This window comes from Homo sapiens, chromosome 2 (genome assembly GCF_000001405.40).
Source record: "Homo sapiens chromosome 2, GRCh38.p14 Primary Assembly".
Classification (NCBI taxonomy): domain Eukaryota; kingdom Metazoa; phylum Chordata; class Mammalia; order Primates; family Hominidae; genus Homo; species Homo sapiens.
This window is the reverse complement of record NC_000002.12, coordinates 58,524,557-58,543,103: the sequence shown is the minus strand read 5'-3', so window position 1 is coordinate 58,543,103 and position 18,547 is coordinate 58,524,557. Positions and strand designations below refer to the sequence as shown.

The 18,547-nt window shown below is 37.0% G+C and overlaps 1 long non-coding RNA gene across 1 annotated transcript in view, besides 3 other annotated features; it reads right to left on the bottom strand.

The window, feature by feature from the left end:
- LINC01122 (long intergenic non-protein coding RNA 1122) overlaps window positions 1-18,547 on the bottom strand; it is a 543,014-nt gene that overhangs the window by 520,663 nt on the left and 3,804 nt on the right. The window lies entirely within an intron of this gene.
- Window positions 2,131-2,712: an enhancer, noted in NCBI's record as "OCT4-NANOG-H3K27ac hESC enhancer chr2:58767527-58768108 (GRCh37/hg19 assembly coordinates)". NCBI's record gives its function as "activates a minimal SCP1, AML or CMV promoter by ChIP-STARR-seq in naive and primed H9 embryonic stem cells {active_cell/tissue: H9 hESC(naive and primed)}" and the evidence as "EXISTENCE:reporter gene assay evidence [ECO:0000049][PMID:30033119]".
- Window positions 2,713-3,296: an enhancer, noted in NCBI's record as "OCT4-NANOG-H3K27ac hESC enhancer chr2:58766943-58767526 (GRCh37/hg19 assembly coordinates)". NCBI's record gives its function as "activates a minimal SCP1, AML or CMV promoter by ChIP-STARR-seq in primed H9 embryonic stem cells {active_cell/tissue: H9 hESC(primed)}" and the evidence as "EXISTENCE:reporter gene assay evidence [ECO:0000049][PMID:30033119]".
- Window positions 7,150-7,906: an enhancer, noted in NCBI's record as "OCT4-NANOG-H3K4me1 hESC enhancer chr2:58762333-58763089 (GRCh37/hg19 assembly coordinates)". NCBI's record gives its function as "activates a minimal SCP1, AML or CMV promoter by ChIP-STARR-seq in naive H9 embryonic stem cells {active_cell/tissue: H9 hESC(naive)}" and the evidence as "EXISTENCE:reporter gene assay evidence [ECO:0000049][PMID:30033119]".

The following is an 18,547-nucleotide window of genomic DNA, read 5'->3' as shown; positions in this document are numbered from 1 at the left end:
GGTAAAATCCAGGCCAAAACCAGATTGTTTTGTAAAGCCTGTGAATTGAGAATGGATTTTACATTTTTAAATAGTTGGAATAAAAATCAAAAGAAAAATAATATTTTGTGACACCTGAAAATTACGTGAAATTTAATTTTCAATGTCCATAAATACAGTTTTATTGGAACATGGCCACACTCATTCATTTATTTATCATATTGTCTATGGCTACTTTCTTGCTACAAGGGCAGAATTGAGTAGTTGCAACAGAGACCTAGTCTGCAAAGCCTAAAATATTTACTATCTGGTCCTATGCAGAAAGAGTTTGCTGATCCCAGATCTAAGGCATTTGTACTCTACAAATCTATGTAATTGGAGTGTGTCATTATTTACATGTATGTGCACATAAACAATTAGTGATCTATGAGATAAAAGTAGGGTTACCACAAACATATCTGTGTGCATGCACGTGTGATGTAAAAGGTTAAAAACTATAATTCTAGGTGTAACTAAAAATTAATGTTTGCATTGTGATGAAAATCAAATTATATTAATTATCTGGACTTTTATTTTGATTATAATTATATTTAGCAAATTACTGCTTTACTTTTGCATGTATGCATTTTATGTTCCTTATGTCTGTGAAGAGTCTATTTTATTAGACAATAAAACAACCAAAACAACAACAGCAAAATATATATATACACATATATACATGTGTATATATATATATACACATATATACATGTGTATATATATATACACATATATATATATTATTTTTGGCTATCACTGAATGTGGAAATAATGAGTGATTTAGTAAAACACCACTGTTGAGGCCACTTTGCTATTTTTTTCCTGAAGCTATCAGTAAGCTAAAAAAGAAGTTATTTGATAAAATTGTTTAAGACTACATACACACACAGATACAAATGAATCCATGTAAAACTGGTGAAATCATAAGGTGCTTTCAATCTGTTTCCTGAGTTTGACTGTATTACTGTATTCAAATTATGTCAGATATTACCAATGGGGGAACTAGGAGAAGGGTACATGGGACTTCCAATATTTTTACAATTTCCTGTAAATCAATAATTATTTCAAAATAAAGGTTATCTTTGTAAGTCATTTGAGAAGAGAATCCTCTAGATTATATGGGTAGTTCCTCTATCTGATATAGAATTACATTGTACCAAGATTTTCAAAAATTTTACCGAGAAAAAGAAAATAAGAAAAACTAATAGATCTAAAAATTTCCACACTTGACTTACATGAAATGAGGCTGAAATAAATCAATCAGTTTAATTTTTTCTAATCAATATAATGGAGTGGAGGGAACTCAGCTAAACAGATTACGTGGTTTGGTGGACAAAGCCTCTAGTTGGCTGGCTGACCAGTTTGCTTCACGTGGGTTGTCGAGGGTTCCTCTTCGGTAAGTCCGGACTGCAGAGCCTGATGACTATTTCTTTGCCCCTAGTGCCCCTCTTCTCACGTTCCCCAAGCATATTCCTATTGGCCAGAACCTTTCCTTTATTGTACAATTACCATCTTTTACATCTAGATGAAAATGCTTTGCTTTACAGCTGAAAGCTGGAAGTGAAGGGAATTTGAATCTAGAGGATTTTAACTTGTTTGCTTCACTAGAAAAGCATGCCTCATACGACGTAGTGCCTTTTTAAAAGGCTGTTCCTTTGAGCAAATAGTATTAATTCCAATACTTTTTTAAAAGAGGGGGAGACCTACCTATGAATGTAAATAAAGTGACAAATTCCAAAACTAAACATCTCAGGGAGATTAAAGTCTGAATCAGAAGCACAGATGCAGATAAAATAATTTGTATCATGAATGAAAATGTTATACCCTAAAATCCTAGGAAAAACAAAAATCTTTTCTTGAAGATAAAACTGCATAAAAATTACTGATGTGAGTGAGGAAATAAAGTATGTTTTTAGTTTTCATGCCAGGAAGGAGATGAGATTCATTTTTATACCAGCTCCACAAAGGCTTGCTAGCAACCTGCTTAGAATACAATAGATGGGATTTAAATTTTCTTTTCCTTTACGTGGTTTGCTCATTTGCATGCTAGGCCCCAGAATGGTCTTCTCTCTCTCTCTGCCATTTCACAGAAACACTGGGATCTGAGCGCTGGGAGCAAACTGAAAGGTTCAAGGGTGCTTGTGAGTTCAGCAGAAAGCTCTTTTATCAGTGTATTTGCAAGGGAAAAATGTAGTGCTTTCCTCACTTCATTGGGCAACTTTTCCTTTGAGGGACAGCTTCAAAAATCTCCTCCCCAGAACACCTCTCAGCCCAGAAAGTGCTCTGCATTCCTCAAACACACAGAAGGAAACTCACCATGGGGACTCCTAATGAACAAAGACAAAATTAGCGTTGGTTTGGAAGGATTTTAGAAAGAGGATCGGTCTACCCTTCTGCACCTGGGTGTCAGTTCCTCAAATTTCTTCATTTAAAATATCAGACATGGCTGTTATTCGAGCTTAAAAGAAAGTCCAAGGGGGCTGAGACCTTGGAGGAAAAGGCTATCCAGACTTTATTTTCAAATCAATTTTAGGATGATTAAAGTATATACAAATGTCACAACTATCCAACCCAGTGAGTAATAATTTAAAAGAAGAGAAGGAAATAAACACAAGACATTTAGTCGCTCAAATAGGAAATATCAATCCAATCCAATGATTATAGTCAGTTTTTAAAGCCTACACAGTACATTCTCATCATAAAAGACATACTGTATATAAAGAGAAATGCTCCCTCATTGCAGTATAAAGATCTCAGATGTGATGCCTGACGAAATAATAAAAGGACTGTATTCATCAACAGACTTAAAACTGCACGTTATTCTCTGTTACTGACAGACAACTGTTTATAGGAACTGGAAGAGGTTGGGATGGCATTCCTATGTAAATAAGAGGGAGTGGTGCTGGAGTGTTGTTTTTTCCAGCATTGCAAAAGCCCTCACAGCAGGAAATGTTTTATTGTAATGCAAATGTATTTGATTTTCTCCAAAATCCCCTTTCACTGTCTTTCCTGTCTGAATGTATCATCACACCATATTTGCAATTCTATTAAGCACCATTTTATATTAGCCTAATTTACGTAACCTGCCTAATAGGAATCGGAAATGTTACAGTTATTTTACTGGATCCAATTAGTATTTCATTGTTTTAGCCTGAGCACAATATTGTACAATAGTCCTCAATACTCAGCTAAATGGGATAGGATGTACACCACGTAATACGATAAATGGAAGCATATGTTTTAAGCTAATTAAAACGCAGTTAAAACCTGCCTGAACTGAAACCAACTGCATCCTTTAATATCTGGTGAATGACTATTTAAAAAAAAAAAACCAATAATAAAATGTCATATCATGGTGAACTTAAGAAAAAAGTACAAAAGTTAAGTACTGAAAATAGCTGGACTAAATTACTAGTGGATTGTTTCCTGGAAACGCATTTTCTCTTTTTATGTGTCACACAGAGAAGAAGAGTGACTTTTTCCCAAGTTAGATACACAAATTCACAAAAATGTGTAAAGATTATTGGTTAACCAGAGGGTGAGGAATAGTTTAAGTATTCCCATAATTAAAAATAGAGTTTCTTATTTCTTATTTTAACACCCATTCAATTTATAGAAATATATCAAATGTTGCATTTTGTGCATATCAGAGATAATATATTCAGCAAAAAGAAGTTACATAATTTCAAACCAAAAAAAATTTGTAACAATACTCAATTTTAAAAATGGCTTTATTTAGGGATATCACTGAGTAGGAAAAAAACCTAAAATGTTGGGTTGAAATTGTGAAAGTAACAATAGTAAACAATGTGAGTATTGTATAACGTAACATATTATACATATATATATACCAAAAATTCCTTGTAATGCAGGAAAATCACTTTTCTTTAATTTCAGAATTTTGCTGTTGAATTCATATTGGGTTGTTATGCTGTTTTATCTGGGTATTGTTCCCCTAAGATTACAGGCTCTATTAAAATATGAGTAGGAAGTATATCTAGGAGGAAAAAATACTGGGCTGAGCGACACATAACCCAATTAAAAGCATATTTGCTTCTTACTTTTTATACAGACACCTCTCAAACCTCATTTCAATGAAAATAGTGTATGAAATTGTAACTTTGCCAAAAATAACTTTCGGAAAAAGAAACAGGTATGAGAAGTTTCTCTTATAGTAAAAGGGAGGCAAAGTTGAATGTCTGGCAAAATATTAAATACAATATTTGGTGGGAAAAATAATCTTTTTTGTTTTTTATTTTAACTTATGACAATGGTAAGAAATAGTACTAAAGTGAACTCCTGGGCTGACTGGAGATTCTTAACAATAATGTATGATGGTTGCACTAAACCTGAGAGTGTGCTTTATGTCATTTTTTCCGACTTTGCCATTAACTCCATAACAGCTGGCACCAAATATAGTAAATTGTGAAATAATGAGCTTGTATATTGCTAGCAATTACAGAGTTAAGTTGAATAAATCCTTAGAGTACAAAATAAGTGTGCTTTCCACCTGACAATAAATTAAAAGTGACGCCTGCCTTAATTTAAAATTGCCTAAGATCATATAAAAAAATCAACAAAAAACACTGTGATTGAAACCACATCTCAAAATTTGCCAGGTTTGACTCTATCCCTTTCATATATGTTTATGACATCTGTCACCTCGATCTATTATTTAAACACTTTTTATGCATTGCTGAGTTATGAAGTATGTTTGTGATAACTATACTTCTGAATTTGAAAGCTCAAGATGTGAATGCTATGTATCTTGCTTTCCTTGTCAATATATAAATCTGAACAGAAACTAGATAACCAGATCACAATATTCTTTTAAACTATGATACCAGACGGGCTGTGCCTTTAGAAAAACAATACAATTAAAGGACCAGAATTTGGAAGCTCTTGGTAAACAAAATAAACATCACTTCAATGAAACTCATACATAACATGAAACTAACGTTTCTTTAATTGGTTTTTGAAAAATATAACTTATAAAAATATAACTTAGACCATATATTAATGGACCATGTCCAAAAGTAGTCTAAACGGCAGTTGCTGTTAGACAGACACAGCCTCAAACTGCCAGGGGATTGGGTTTTATCTGTCAGCATAAAAACACCTACCATGGATTAGATAAAGGGGGATGGGACAGGTAGCAATACAGGACTCCTCTCTTCACATACAAACACAAACACATACACACATGGCAAATAGTAAAAGTTAAGTAAGTGCCATGGCGTCTTTGGGCTCACCATAGAGCTGGATGTGATTTTGGGAAGTGACTGGAAGAAGCCTTTTGGCTTCTAGGAGGGAAATAAAACTATCCCAACTGATAGTCATATTTTTCCCTTCTGAATATATTTAGGAATACAAACAATATGTTTTAAGAGGCAGCTTCAGCCGGCCACGGTAGCTTGGTTCACGCCTATAATCCCAGCACTTTGAGAAGCTGACGTGGGTGCATCACCTGAGGTCAGGAGTTCGAGATCAGCCTGGCCAACGTGATGAAACCCTGTCTTTACTAAAAATGCAAAAATTAGCCAGGCATGGTGGCAGATGCCTGTAATCCCAGCTACTAGGGAGGCTGAAGCACGAGAATTGCTTGAACCCGGAAGGCAGAGGTTGCAGTGAGCCAAGATCGCATCACTGCACTCCAGCCTGCGCAACAGAGCGAGACTCCATCTCAAAAAAAGAAAAAAGAAAGAGGTAGCTCCTGCTCCTCTGAAAATGTGGCTTCTCATCTTGGACATTCCATATAGCAAATGAGTCTATTAAATGTATCCTAAAATCTTTCAGTGATCTGGAATGTATAAGCCTGTCTTATAAAGTTGTAATGTTTCCATTCCAACAAAGTAGGCTGCCTGTTTTGGGACACTGACCAATCTCATCATTGCATCATTTCCTATAGAATCAATTTGTATTATTGTGTATGGAGGTACAGATTGGCATTGATTCAAAGTACTGAAATTAGATGAGCCCTAAAAGAAACTAAGCTTGTTGGCAGGCCAGAATTTGAGCTGAAGTGGAAATTACAAAATATAGCAATTAACCATTACTCCTCAGTTACTGTTGCGGCTTAGGACATGCTACTGCAAAATATGGCACCTTGACAGATGGAAAATTTTAAGCTGAAGAAATTTGAGAAACAGTATTTGCATGAAGGTCTCCCTGACCTTCCCCTGCTTTTCTCCACTAAAACAGGTCATAAAACCTAGGAAGGATTTTCTGACCCTCCCCTAATGCAGGCCATAAAACCCTCATGTGAGAGATGCTCTCTCTATACCTGGAGGAAAAGAGCAGCCTTATCTCTGAAGACACAGGATCACAAAGAAAAATCTGAACAAACGGGTGTTGCTAAGTTCTCCCCTAGTTTATTATCATTAGATCATACCCCCTTTGTCCAATTATATTTCTCCATGACTGTCCACTCTACATCAAACCTACTACAGTATAAAAAGCTCTACAGTTTAGCTGCTTCTTTGGGTCTTAATTTCCTCATGAAGGCTCCCATATCACACAAAGCTTACATTTAAAACATATGTGTGATTTTCTCTCGTTAATCTGTGTTTCGTTATAGGGGCCCCAGTCAATGAACCTTAGATGAGAAGGGAAAGATATGCTTTCTCCTCCATACTGTCCAATTCTCAGACCTTAAGTGGGTGGAGGCAAAGGTGAAAATCTGAGATCTAAAATTTTTTTGTATCAGCAGAAAAGTTGTATTCCTTTTAAAGGCACATCCAAGGCCTTAACAGACAGCCACAAATCAAAGTAGGCATTTAAAGCATTAGATAGTAAGGCACAAGATATACAATGGGGGAAAATGCTTCACCATCGGAAGCGAACAGCAAACTTGGCTGCATCGACAGCTGAGCTCTGCAAGTGCTGGGGGGTGTGGCTGAGAGTAACAGCATGTTTGCAGAACTAAAAGAAATGTTTCTCAGCTATTCCTACATGCAGGAACAAAACCAAATGCAAGACACCACATTCAGAATTCTCAACCCTCTTTCCGTTAGCTGTGCTTTGAGCCAAAGGATTAGCTTTTGCAGTAACCAAAATTGATGGTTCAGATGGCTGAAATGACCACAAAAAAAGATTTGGAGAGACTTAACTGCAAAGCTTTTACTGATGCACATGTTCCCAGATATACACATTTTGCAACCACAGAATGAGACAGGTTCTACAAAGAAAAAGGGAGGTGTTAATGAGAATTGCTTCTTTATCAAATGGTCTTCACCTATTCAATATTGCAAAGAATTTATAACAAGCTAAACTCCTGTGCTTGTCCAGAACATTTCAGACTTACTTCTGAGAACATCTCTCCTTTTTGTTACTCTGCAACTTTCTAATGCTATCTTAGTAATAAAGATAATATTCTAAAGGAAAAATAAAAGACTATTTCCAAATGATTTGGAAATAAAAGGTCAGTTTTAAAATCTGAATTTATCAAAGTATACCATAATATATAATCTGCTGACCAACATGCCATTAATCTCTTAAATCTAAATAACATGAATTTCTGTTTTACTCCTAACTCATAAAACCATAAGGAACCCCACGGACTGGCATTCATTTTTTCAATAGCCAAAGCTTCAAATGGGACAGGCACTTTACTTTGTTCTGGGATGTGGATTTGTGGGCAGATGACAAGGTGCTAATGAGGAGCTAATGTCCCTGCAGCTGGCTAACTGCCAACCTCAGGATGGGAGGATTAGAGCATTTGTCTGCATTAGCCCTGTACAAAGGAGGGAGGGGCTAGGGGAAAGCCAACTCCAGGTTGAATAACTTGACTCACATTTGATCTTGTGTCCCATTCCAAAGGTAAGGGGCTATTTGAGGATAATTATGCACTTCTCCTAGGTGGCATGGCTAGTTCTCATGTGGATACACTTGACTTGGTTCTCATTGTGAAATAAATTAGTTAGAATAGGCAAGTTCAGAACCTGTCCCACCTCATCACCAACTCAGGATATAATCATATTAATGAGGAACCAGGTGAAACTTCTTGTCTACGTTAGATTCATTCGCCATGAATGTAAAGTTAGTTTATACAAGTGTCTAACTAGATCACTTCTTGAATTCAAATTTTATTTTTAAAGACAAGGGCGCTTTATTTTCTAATTTTGCCATCAAAAATTCATATCATGAGTTTTGGTTGATTGGAAAAAATCCCCAGAGAGACTTGAAATTTCAATAGAATCATACTGCCTGAGCAGAATACAGCCGAGGTTCTTCCACCTGGCCACTTCCATCCAAGTCTCCCCAACATTCATTTCAATAACAATTATCCCTCTTACATTTTAAAATCTCATGGATATGCTTATTAATGTAGATTTTCACTTACATAAAAACATAAAGAAGGTAAATTTGAATGGAAATGCAGGTTTGAAGGGATAAAACAAATACGCTTTTTTTTTTCCTGGAAATTGTAAAAAAATAAAAGCTTGATACATGAAAATAAGCATTATTAACAGGCGAAAAAATAATCCTAAACTGAATACACAGTAAGTTACATCCCATAATTTTAATTTTAAGGCATTTCATCTTTTATAAAGACATATGAATATGTGTTTATAGTATTTATTTTTAGATATGTAGTCTATATAAGTTCATTTTTACGTACATAGCGGTGATTTGAATTCCCTGCATGATTTGATAAGGATCATGGTATATATGCTCCAAGCCACACGCACACACAGAGTCCGTGATCCTGCAATAATCTGCATCATGTCTATTGCAGTGGACTTCAAACTGTAATTCTGAATTCCACCCTTGCCCTATTATTTCCCCACAGCAGCCAGTTGGACCTTATTTTTATTTATTTATTTTTTTTTTAGAGGGGGTCTCGCTCTGTCGCCCAGGCTGGAGTGCAGTGGTGCGATCTTGGCTCACTGCAAGTTCCGCCTCCCGGGTTCACGCCATTCTTCTGCCTCATCCTCCCAAGTAGCTGGGACTACAGGCACCCGCGACCACGCCTGGCTAATTTGGACCTTCTTATGAAATAAATCAGAAATCAGATTACATCCCAACCTTGCAAGATCTGTCCCTGACCCACTTCCCCAAGCTCATTCTTCCTGATCTCCACGCTACTCACCAAGCTTCAACTCCCCTTTCTGTTCTTCAAAGGAGGACAAACAGTGTCCACTTCAGGACTTTCAGAAGGGCTGTACGGTGTGCCTGGACTGTTCACCTTCCCATTGTCAACCTAGTTGGTTCTTTTTCATCTTTCAGATCTAAGCTTAATTGTCTGCTTCCATCACTCTGTCAAAAGCACATTTCTTTTTGCAGTTCTCTAGTTTAAAACTCTATTTTACCATTCACAACACCCACAACATTTACTTCTTTCACAGCTGTTTTATTTGGTTTTGTTTGCCCGATTTCTTCCCTACTAGGACCACCTGAGTCTTTCTGGATGCTGCATCCCCAGGGCCTGACATGATGACTGCACTCAGTAGGTATTCAATAACTATTTGTTCAATGATTGAATGTGAGATGTTGAGTAAGGCCTAAAATATTTTAAGATGTAAATTTTAAGTCTGATGTCATTTACAAACACAAACTTTTTTCTAGAAGTTGAAGATTAACTGAGCTTTAAACAAAAGAAAAATGTTATTCAGCGTGACTTCATACAGATCAATTCTAGTTTCTTTCTTTTTCTTTTTCTTTTTTTTTGTTTCTCTTTTTTTTTTTTTTTTTTTTTTTGAGACGGAGTTTCGCTCTTGTTGCCCAGGCTGGAGTGCAATGGCAGGATCTCAGCTCACTACAACCTCCATCTTCCGGGTTCAAGCGATTCTCCTGCTTCAGTCTCCGTAGTAGCTGGGATTATAGGCATGCGCCAACACTCCCGGCTAATTTTGTAATTTTTTTTAGTAGAGATGGGGTTTCTCCAAATTGGTCAGGCTGGTCTTGAACTCCCTACCTCAGGTGATCCACCCACCTCGGCCTCCCAAAGTGCTGGGATTACAGGCATGAGCCACTGCACCTGGTCTCTACTTTATTTCTATACTGGCACCCAGAGCATCCTACAGGGGACTCTTCAGGCTTCTGAGAGAGATTGGTAAAACTGTTATGAACCGAACACCCTACAAAAGCACTGGTATTCATTCATTTCACCTCCACATTCTAGGTGAGTTAATGGAAGTGCTGAGTAGATATATGTATAACTGTCCAGGAATGTATAACATGCAGCCAGGAAATGGAACAGTGAGGGTTGAATCCAGACTCCAGCTGCAGAGACCATGCTCGTAACTGCCACAAGATGCTATCACCTGCATTTCTGAGTGCATAGTGGCCACCTGTGACAAACTGCCTCAGGGCCATAGGCTCTCATTCCATATGGAAATATAAACAAGAGAGGACAAAAAAAAGAGAAGGACTTACAGAATCATGGCATAGTTACAGTTTGGGGTGGCTGGTTCCCCCATTCCTCTTTTAAGTGGATTTACGTTATAAATTCTGAGCCAGGCATGGTGGCTCATGCCTATAATCCCAGCACTTCCGGAGGCCAAGGTGTGGAGATTACTTGAGCTCAGGAGTTTGAGACCAGCCTGTGCAACACAGGGAGACCCCAGCTCTACAAAAAATTTTTAAAAAATTAGCTGGGCATGTTGGCCTGTACCTGTAGTCCCAGCTACTCAAGAAGTTGAAGTGAGAGGATTGCTTGGAGATCGAGGCTGAAGTGAGCTATGATCATACCACTGCACTCCAGCCTGGGTGACAGAGTGAAACCCTGTCTCAAAATTAAAAAAAAAAAAAAAAAGAAGAAGAAGAAGAAGAGGAGAAAAATAAATTATAAGAACCTTCTCACCGTCTTACCAGAATGCATGAAAAAAACTGGTATGCTCATAATCCTGAATAATCCAGTTTTTGCACCTTATCTTTGTTTTCCTCTGACCCTGGCTTTACTTGAGCACTCACAGCTCTTCCTCTTTTCTTATTTCTTAAAGATGCATCAACAAAATGACAACTGATCAGTCAGGTCACTACTATGGACCATATCCAAGGAAACTGCAAGTATGTACTAGATGGAGGAGAAATAATATGAGAACAATTGCCCATGGGGCAACATGGACATCTCTGAATGTTTGTGTAAGTGTAAGAGTGTGTGTGTGTGTGTGTGTGTGATTTCTAGAAGATGGCTGATACCAGTTGAGGAAATAACCTTAACAAGGACATATCATTAAGGGAAGAAACTATCAACAGATTTCTGAAGGTCAAAGAGTGCTTGTGGTAAATCAATACTTCACATCTTGAAGACAAAGGCAGGTGTGATCCCACATGAAGACTGCACAATATTAACCAGATTACCAGCTGAAGGGCATGAATTGAGTCAGCAGGAATTTTGTGAAGGCAGAGATAGACTGGCCCCGTAAGGATGCCAGAAACTGGTAGGATAAAAGCATGAGAGAAAGCAGCAATACCTCAAGAAAAATACTTTTTTCCAATGCGGTTGCTGGCTCTCCTGGTTTTGCTATCAGAATCTGATAAACAATGAATGTAGGCTCCAAAGATAAGTATCTGGGTGAGTGTGGGTAATATCTAAGTTAAATGATGCCAATTAGTGCCTTATTTCATATACCATTTAAATGATAGTAGTATCATTTTACCCTTGACCCTAAAGTTGATCCCTTTAGCAGAAATCCACAAACGTTTTCTTAAAAGGCCAGACTGTACTTATTTTTGGACTGCTATTTTGATACAAAAGCAACTGTAATGCAGTAAAGCAGACCCCCTCCCCGCTAAAAAATGGTAGAGAAAATAGGAATAAATGGGTGTGGCTGTGTTCCAATAAAACTTTACTTTTTTTTTTTTTTGAGATGGAGTTTTGCTCTTGTTGCCCAGGCTAGAGTGCAACAGCCTGATCTCGGCTCACCACAACCTCCACTTCCCGGTCTCAAGCAGTTCTCCTGCCTCAGCCTCCCAAGTAGCTGGGATTACAGGCATGTGCCACTATGCCCGGCTAACTTTTTTTTTGTATTTTTAGTAGAGAGGGGGTTTCTCCATGTTGGTCAGGCTGGTCTCAAACTGCCGACCTCAGGTGATCCGCCTGCCTCGGCCTCCCAAACTGCTGGGATTACAGGCGTGAGCCACTGGGCCCGGCCAAAACTTTACTTTTTGACACTGAAATTTGAATGTCATATCATTTTCATGGGTCACAAAATACTATTCTTTTGTTTGTTTGTACACAGGGTCACCCTCTGTCGCCTGGGCTGGAGTGCAGTGGTACAATCACAGCTCACTGCAGCCCAACTCCTGGGCTCAAGACATCCTCCTGCCTCAGCCCTGTCAGTAGCAAGGGCTACAGGCACCTGCCACCACGCCTGGCTAATTTTTTTTTTTCTTTGAAGAGATAGGGTCTCACTGTGTTGCCCAGGCTGGTTTCAAACACCTGGCTTCAAACAGTCCTTCCACCTTGGCCTTCCAAAGTGCTGGGATTATAGGCATGAACCACCACACACAGACTCCTTTTGATTTTTCTGTTTCAATTATTTAAAAATGTAAAAAGCCATGGCCGGGCGCAGCAGCTCATGCCTGTAATCCCAGCACTTTGGGAGGCCGAGGCAGGCAGATCAAGAGGTCAGGAGATCGAGATCATCCTGGCTAATACAGTGAAATCCCAAACCCCGTCTCTACTAAAAAAATTAGCCGGGCATGGTGGCACGCACCTGTGGTTCCAGCTACTTGGGAGACTGAGGCAGAAGAATCACTTGAACCCAGGAGGCGGAGGTTGCAGTGAGCCGAGATGACGCCACCTTACTCCAGACTGGGTGACAAAAAAAAAATGTAAAAAGCCATTCTTAGCTCATAGATTATACAAAGATAGGCAAAAGACCAGATTTGGCCCAGGGGCCATAGTTTGTCAACCTCTCCTATTACAAAACAAAACCAAAAACAAACCAAACAAACAATTCTAAGATGAACTTTTAAAAGGAGGTTAAGTCTCTTGGAACGTCAGATGTTTTCAAATGAATAAACCTGTTCTTTATATTTGCATGTCATTTCAAAACGTTTTATCCAGTTTTCTTCAAAACTGCAGAAAAGTGCACAGCTTGATGAATTTTCTCAAACGAAACACAATCATATGATCGGCACCCAGATCAAGAAACAGAACATTAATAGCACCAAGAATCTCCCCTTCTTCTCTTCATCTCTTCATCTGTCAATCACCACCACACCCACTCCAAGAGTAGCCACTACCCTGACTTGTAAGAGCACAGGGTAGTATAGTTGTTTTTTCGTTTTTTGGTGCGGTAGTTGTATTAGTCTATTTTCATACTGCTATGAAGAAATACCCAAGACTGGGTAATTTATAAAGAAAAAGAGGTTTAACGGACTCACAGTTCCACATGGCTGGGGAGGCCTCACAATCATGGCGGAGGGTGAAGGAGGAGCAAACGTACCTCTTAGCTGGCAGCAGGCAAGAGAGCATGTGCAGGGGAACTGCCCTTTACAAAACCATCAGATGTCGTGAGACTTATTCACTATCAAGAGAACAGCATGGGAAAAACCCACCCCCATGGTTCAATTACCTCCCACCGGGTCCCTCCCATGACACATGGGGATTATTATAATTCAAGGTGAGATTTAGGTAGAGGCATAGAGCCAAACCATATTAGTAGTTTACTTTTAAAAAATGTTGTAGGATAAAATTTTGTTATATAATAAAAAGGAAATTAGCTGCTAGGACTGAAATTCGTATTTTTTAAACCATATAATCATAGACTCTAGAAATGGAAGAGATTTTAGAGAACATCCATATTTACACCTTCATGTTACATCCGATTCCCATAGTAACATAACTAATATATGTATAATTCAATTGTCTATCCAAATAGTAGTTAGATATGCATTACATACAAGTATATGTGGTAAAAATCTATATATCAATAATATTTGCATCAATAATGTTGACAATAAACAAAATAATAAATTAAATTTCTGGTTATGTTATTATTATCAAAGCTAATACCTCCCTCATTTTCATCACATAATTGACAGGGCTTTGAATTTTTTTGTTACAGTGAATATCTAGGAGAGGCCAGTACTTTCCACTATTGGCACTGCTAATAAAGAGGAAGGCCTTCAATTCACAAATGATTAGCTTTCATGACAAGGTACAAACTCAATAACATTTAATGATTTTATCAACTATTTGCTACATATATCAAGGAATGTCCAAGTTTTAGCTGTAAAAGCAACTAAATATAAAGTAACACTTTGCTGATTTTATAGAGGTTACAATGGAAACTTTTTTATAGTAGTCTAAAAAGACTGGGCATTTCAACAATTTGATAACAGAACACAGATTTTAAAAGTATGTTCTGCATTCCCAAACTCCAACATAAACATAGGGGCAAAGTTATATAAAAGATAATATACCTGAGGCAGTTTTTTAACACTATTTTATACAATCTCCTATGCAATACCTTCTTTCTCCTCTACCCCACTTCAAACTCCATGAATGTTTTTACCAGAAAGGTATTTTATGCTAACAGGATCTTAAAATGTTTGTTTTATGGAGAAAAATTAAAATGTGTTATCACTTAAGTGTGAGTACTAATGTGCAATTTATCTTGAAACAACTCACTAGTATATTTAAGAATAAAAATAGACTAATTCTAAAGATTTAAATGGGATTGGATAATCCTGCACAGAGCCATTCTGGTCTCTGCTTTGCTATTAGTCTGCCTTGTGACCTTGACCCATGTCAAATTACCTTAAACTTCAGCTTCCTCATCTAAAATGTGATATTGTGGAGTTTCTTTTTAGCTCTAAAAATATACTTTAGTTATTATTGTAAAAACATTAACCTAATTAATGTCCAGGCAAAAGAATTCTCTTTTCCTGAAATGCCAGAATACAGCATATTTAAGAAAGGATTAAAGTTTAAAAACAATTTCTTGCAATGTTGTGAATTTCTCTAATAGTTCAGAGGCTAAATGTCAAAACATTTCAATATTCAGAAATGGATGGTTTAAATAATAAGAATATACTCTCCAAACAGGCAGTTAAACTTTCTAAATGCTGGCCAAAAAACTTGATCAACTCTACATCATTTAAAAGTGAGACTTCTGTGGCTAGCCCATACTGCTTAGTATAAATTCAAGCCAATTTAAAGCACGGTAACAATGTGGGCAGTCTCAGACTATTACTTTCAATGGATTGAGTCCCTAAGGATGGCAACGACTGAGTCCCATTGAAAGTAATGGAGTAAGCAATCACATGCCGTTACTTTCAAGGAGACACAGTCTCCACTATCCATAATAACATGGTAATATAAATCTGCACTGACTCATCAGCATGAAGAATGAAAATGTAAAAGAATTTCAAAGCTGCAATTGTGCACCCTGAACCAAAAAAAAAAAAAAAAACCCTCTGGCTCTCTTGTACTCATAATTGATCATAAGTTGAAACATATTTTAGTGAAGATAGAAAGGTCCAAGAACCCAGGTTAAGGCAATGTGAACCCCAGGGATAGACTCTTGTCTTTCTCACATTTTCTTTTGAGCAATGGTTGGCATGCTGTTAACTGTTATCTGTACTTATATACCTATATCTGGGCCTTTTCCAATCCCACTTTGTTATTTAGGTATTAATAACTCAGAGAAGAACAGTTTTTTTGCCCTAAGAACCACAGTTGGTCAAATTTATTAAAAATGATCTTTTCCCTTCTGTCTTAGTGTGTGTTGATTTCCCTAATAGGTGGAAAAATGCAATCTTGATTTCTTTCCATACTGACATGTGGGTAAAATTCCAAGAAAACCTATGTCTCAGAAGACAGTTTGCCAAATTTTCTTCACCTCATTTCTTTTTACTGAATACTAGTTTTGAGCAAGAAGATGTTTGCTTACCTGCTCTTCTGAATCTGCCCTCAATCCTACTATCTCTACTACTAAAAACAATATGAACAAGATATTGGACCTACTGTAGATTAAGTGTAGTTGAGTGTCCCTGTTAATGGAATGATCAAGATAATCACAAATACTTGCAAAGGTGTAGTTAAATGTGTAAGAGTATATGTTTGACATTTAGCTTCAAGATGAGGAAAAATGCCCTGATTGTAACACTTGCCAGTTTTCATGGTGTAAATATTCCCATCATGGCTGACTTCAGGTTACCAAGATGATGATACTAAATGTAGAGGATAGGAAATAGCACATCATTATATAGCATTTTCACGGTAAAGATAGAATAGATGTGAATGAACTCAAAATTATAAAGAAAAGTAAAGGTTTATAAGGTAATAAGTGATAAGTTTTGCACATATGTTACATTTATTTTAAATATAGTTAATTTGCCGGTCATAGTGGCTCATGCCTATAATCCCAGAACTTTGGGAGGCTGAGGTGGGAGGATTGCTTGAGCCCAGGAGTTTGAGGCTGCAGTGGGCTATGATCACACCACTACACTACAGCCTAGGTGACAGAACAAGACCCCATCTTTATAATTTTTATATATATATATATTATATATATATAAACCGAATTGAATTGTAAGTGTAAAATTTTAATTGTTAATAATGGCTGTGTTTAATAATGGGCTTGCAAAATTACTGACAATTTAACAATTGTTTCTTGTGAGCAAATACTGGCCGGCTCCAGCACACCACTGTGTATTTTTCCCTGTAAGTTACAGCAGTCAAGTTCACATCATGTCAAGGATCACCAAGAACTTGCAAATAAATGAGGACTTTCCCAGGTTCCTCTCAGCTCCCCTTTGCTGCTTGTGTGCCCCTGGTTTGTTTTTAACTTTGAACTTTCCTTTTGCTTTTGCTGGGTTGTTCCTTCAACTCATTCCCCAAAACTGAGAGAAAAAAATTGTTCCTTTCAGCAACAATTATTGATGCATTTCTTGCTTCTGTCATCCACCTTCCTTCATTGTGTCCATATGTGGCTCAGCTACCTATACCACCAGAACTTCCAATGCCCAGTTCCCCATCTTCTATCTGCATTCTGCTGGATCCTTTCAAATTACCACTCTTTATTGAACCACGTACATTAATTTTTAAAACCATGCCTTGCAATTTCCTTATGCTGATCAAATTCTGGCTCCCTCTGGCAATGCCACCATAGCCCAAAAGCCTAAACAATAAAAGTCAGTGTCTCTCAAAAATGGGCAGCTCTTAGAGAAAAATTTTAAATGAAAAATATTTTCATTATAAAATTAATGTAGGGTCTGTGAAGTGGGGAAAGCATTAGTTTTCCATTTTAACCTGGGAATACTATGTTGTTTTTCACAGGGTGTCAGTGTTCTACAAAATATAGGGTACGCCATAACTTAACCTCTAAAACAGCACACAAGGCTCTCAAAGAAACTGCCACCAAAGAGTCAATTTCTAAAAATTAAAAGTATAAAATCAGACTTCAGATATATTATCCAAAGTATTTTCTAGAATATATGTCTATAGTCACTTAATAAGTGCTTATTGATTTATATTACAAAATTATTTTGCAACATATAGAATGTTCTGAAATAGAGGAATCTGTGCCAATACAGATACTTTTAGAATCTTTAAGGCCACATATCACAAAATCAGGAGTCCTACAAAAAAATTTGAAAGTTAAAATCTCACTTATATCATGAAAAGAAAGCTTAACAATAAAAAGAAAACCTTTCATAAATTATTATTATTATTATAACAAAATCTCATTCTGAATAGAGACCATTCAGTTACTAGCCTAGAAACAATCCCCTCCCTTTTCCACTTAACTGTATCTCAATCTTTCCTCTATCAAAGATAATTCCCTTTGGTCACATTATTCTTGCCAGCAGTATTTTGGACATACTCTCTGGCATTAATCTATCCTTAATATTTATGTGTTTCAGAGAAGCCCAAAGAATACAATTAAATAATGGGAAATAATTTAAACTGTGTGTGCAAATTGTCATGAAGAAATGAAGAAATTGTGTCAAAACAGAATTTTCACATTATAATAAAAAAAAAGGAATGGTTTTGAATGCATACTGTCTTCTCCAAAAATATTTCAAGCCCACTAGACTGAAATTTGAAGATGTCACCATTGCTTGTGAAAACTCTTGAGGCAGAGAAACTATCCCATCCAGCACTTGAAAATAGATAAATATGCTCTTTTGAGGAATCTCATGAACATTTTTTAGGAGCTATTTTGGCTATGTCTACAAGAAGCAATGGTACTGGCACGAGACACTTTGTATTTATTTCCATACTCACGTACAACTCTAGAATTTTGCCTGGTTGTCATCTTACTTAAAACAGTCTCGGGAGTATAAACAATTTTCAACATGAAAGTACTAGCTAGGTGATAATATTAGCAACTAAGCATGAATAGGTTGAAACAAGCTTGATTAATTTACATTTTTAAACAAGTCTTCCTCCTTTTTTTCTTTATTTGCTCCATCTACAGCAGCCTCAATTTTTTTCTATTACATATAAACTTTTATATTTTTAAGAATTTGTTGGCCGGGTGTGGTGACTCACGCCTGTAATCCCAGACCATTGGGAGGCCGAGGTGGGTGGATCACAAGGTCAGGAGCTCAAGACCATCCTGGCTAA